The sequence below is a fragment of the Homo sapiens genome, chromosome 7, assembly GCF_000001405.40.
Source record: "Homo sapiens chromosome 7, GRCh38.p14 Primary Assembly".
In the NCBI taxonomy this organism is placed as follows: Eukaryota; Metazoa; Chordata; class Mammalia; order Primates; family Hominidae; genus Homo; species Homo sapiens.
The window spans coordinates 159190944-159192737 of record NC_000007.14 but is presented as its reverse complement, the minus strand read 5'-3'; the positions used below and the strand labels follow the sequence as shown (position 1 = coordinate 159192737).

The 1794-nt window shown below is 52.7% G+C and overlaps 1 annotated feature.

The window, feature by feature from the left end:
- Positions 425-924: an enhancer, noted in NCBI's record as "H3K4me1 hESC enhancer chr7:158984505-158985004 (GRCh37/hg19 assembly coordinates)". NCBI's record gives its function as "activates a minimal SCP1, AML or CMV promoter by ChIP-STARR-seq in primed H9 embryonic stem cells {active_cell/tissue: H9 hESC(primed)}" and the evidence as "EXISTENCE:reporter gene assay evidence [ECO:0000049][PMID:30033119]".

The window sequence follows — 1794 nt, the reverse complement described above, 5'->3', positions numbered from 1 at the left end:
AGGTGGGAGCGAAAGGCCCACATTAAGGACCACTTGGGAGGATCATTGCAGCTTCAGAGCTTCTATAGGTCAGCTGAGGCCTCTGTTGAGACTGCATTCCAGGCAGATTCTTCCTTTGCCCAACCCTGCTTCCTTCCCTCCCACAGGTGCACTCCTAAATGAACCTCCAGCATAATCCTTTCCATGTCATTGTCTTCCTGGGAGCCAAGTCTGTGAAGCCCACACCAGCAGTGGTAAAACAGAACAGATACTGGGATGTCATCTTGGAGCTCAGTCACCTGCCACCAGAGACAGGTGCCTACTGCAAGGTGAAGCAGCGACTGGCCCTGGCACAAGGAGCCACACCAGCATCAAAACTTGGACCAGAGGTCAGCGGGGATCACAGACCAGCAGGTGTGATATAAAAGACATTTAAGAAATATCGGGAAATAATAATTAGCAGGGCCCAGAATCTCATGGCTGCTATCAACTTCGATGAACCCTTTGAAGAAGGAAGTGATTACTCAGCAACTAAAAGCTGAGTGTAAACCCTAGAGGGCTCCCAGGAGCATGAAAAGGGCTCTCAATTTAAAAAACAAAAAACAGCTCTCATCTCCTATAGGTGGAAATCATGACCCATCTCAGGACTGGATCTCAAAAGCTGCAGCTCCCAAGAAGGGCAAACCCTCAACCTCACTGGGTTTGTTGTGTCAAAGCCAGGCCCACAGATGAGGAGAATTTGTCAGCTTGGAAGCACTCTCGTGGAATATAGGAGAGGACCCCAGGCAATGGGGAAACCGTACTAGGCTGTCCCCTATGAGTGAAGCGTGAAGCTCTGCAGCAAGTGAGGTGGAAATTGTGCCAGAGCTTCCCTGGAGGGTGCCGACGTTAGGGGGTTCACAGGCTCAGGGAAGTGGGCTGAGGCAGACAAGCAGCTGGAACACTGTGACCCCCAGCATCTCCATCAGCTAAGGCTGCTGTCACAGGCACCATGGACTCGGTGGCCTCAACAACAAACATTTATTTCTCATAGTTCTGGTGGCCAGCAGCTCTGGTGTCTGCTGTGGGTGCCTTCTCCCCGTGGCAGAAGGAGGGAGAGAGAAAGAACACTGGTCTCCTCCTCTTCTTGTAAGTGTGCTAATCTCATCCTGGGGGCCTTACGATTACGGGCTCATCTGAACCTAATTACCTCCGAAAAGCTCCACCCCCAAATATCATTTACACTGGGGATTAGGGCTTCAATCTGTGAATCTGGGGAAGACGCAGACATCCGGGCCATTGCACGTGGGAAGCCCCAGGGGAATGTACGGGTGGCAGGAGAAACAGTGGCTCCCCGTGCACGTGCAGGCTGGGCTGCCAGCAGCAGAGTCCATCACCGAGGGAGGCTTTCTGACAGCTGTGGGGCAAAAGGACCCTGAACAATACAGACTAGATGGCTGCACTTCGCCTTCAGCAGCCTGGTGGATGCAGTTATCTTCATCTGTGACAAGGCTGGAGTGGCCTTGAGGGAACCTGATCCACAGAGGGTTAACAGAACAGTGTCGCTGGATGCAAAACAGACAGGCAGTGAAAAGAGGCACTATGCAGTGTATGCAATGAAAATAAGGACGATAATGAAACAGGTCATGGTCACCCCAGCACAACTCAGGGACTCGCCCAGTTTCCAGACTCACGCCAGTGAGGGGACGATTTGAAGGAGTCGCCAGGTCCACAAGAGGAAGGAGCTTGACCCACGATGGCGAATGCCCATGGCGCTGACTCCCCAGTCCTTCCTGACCCTCGATGGTGAGTCCACATGGCGCTGATGCTCTTCAG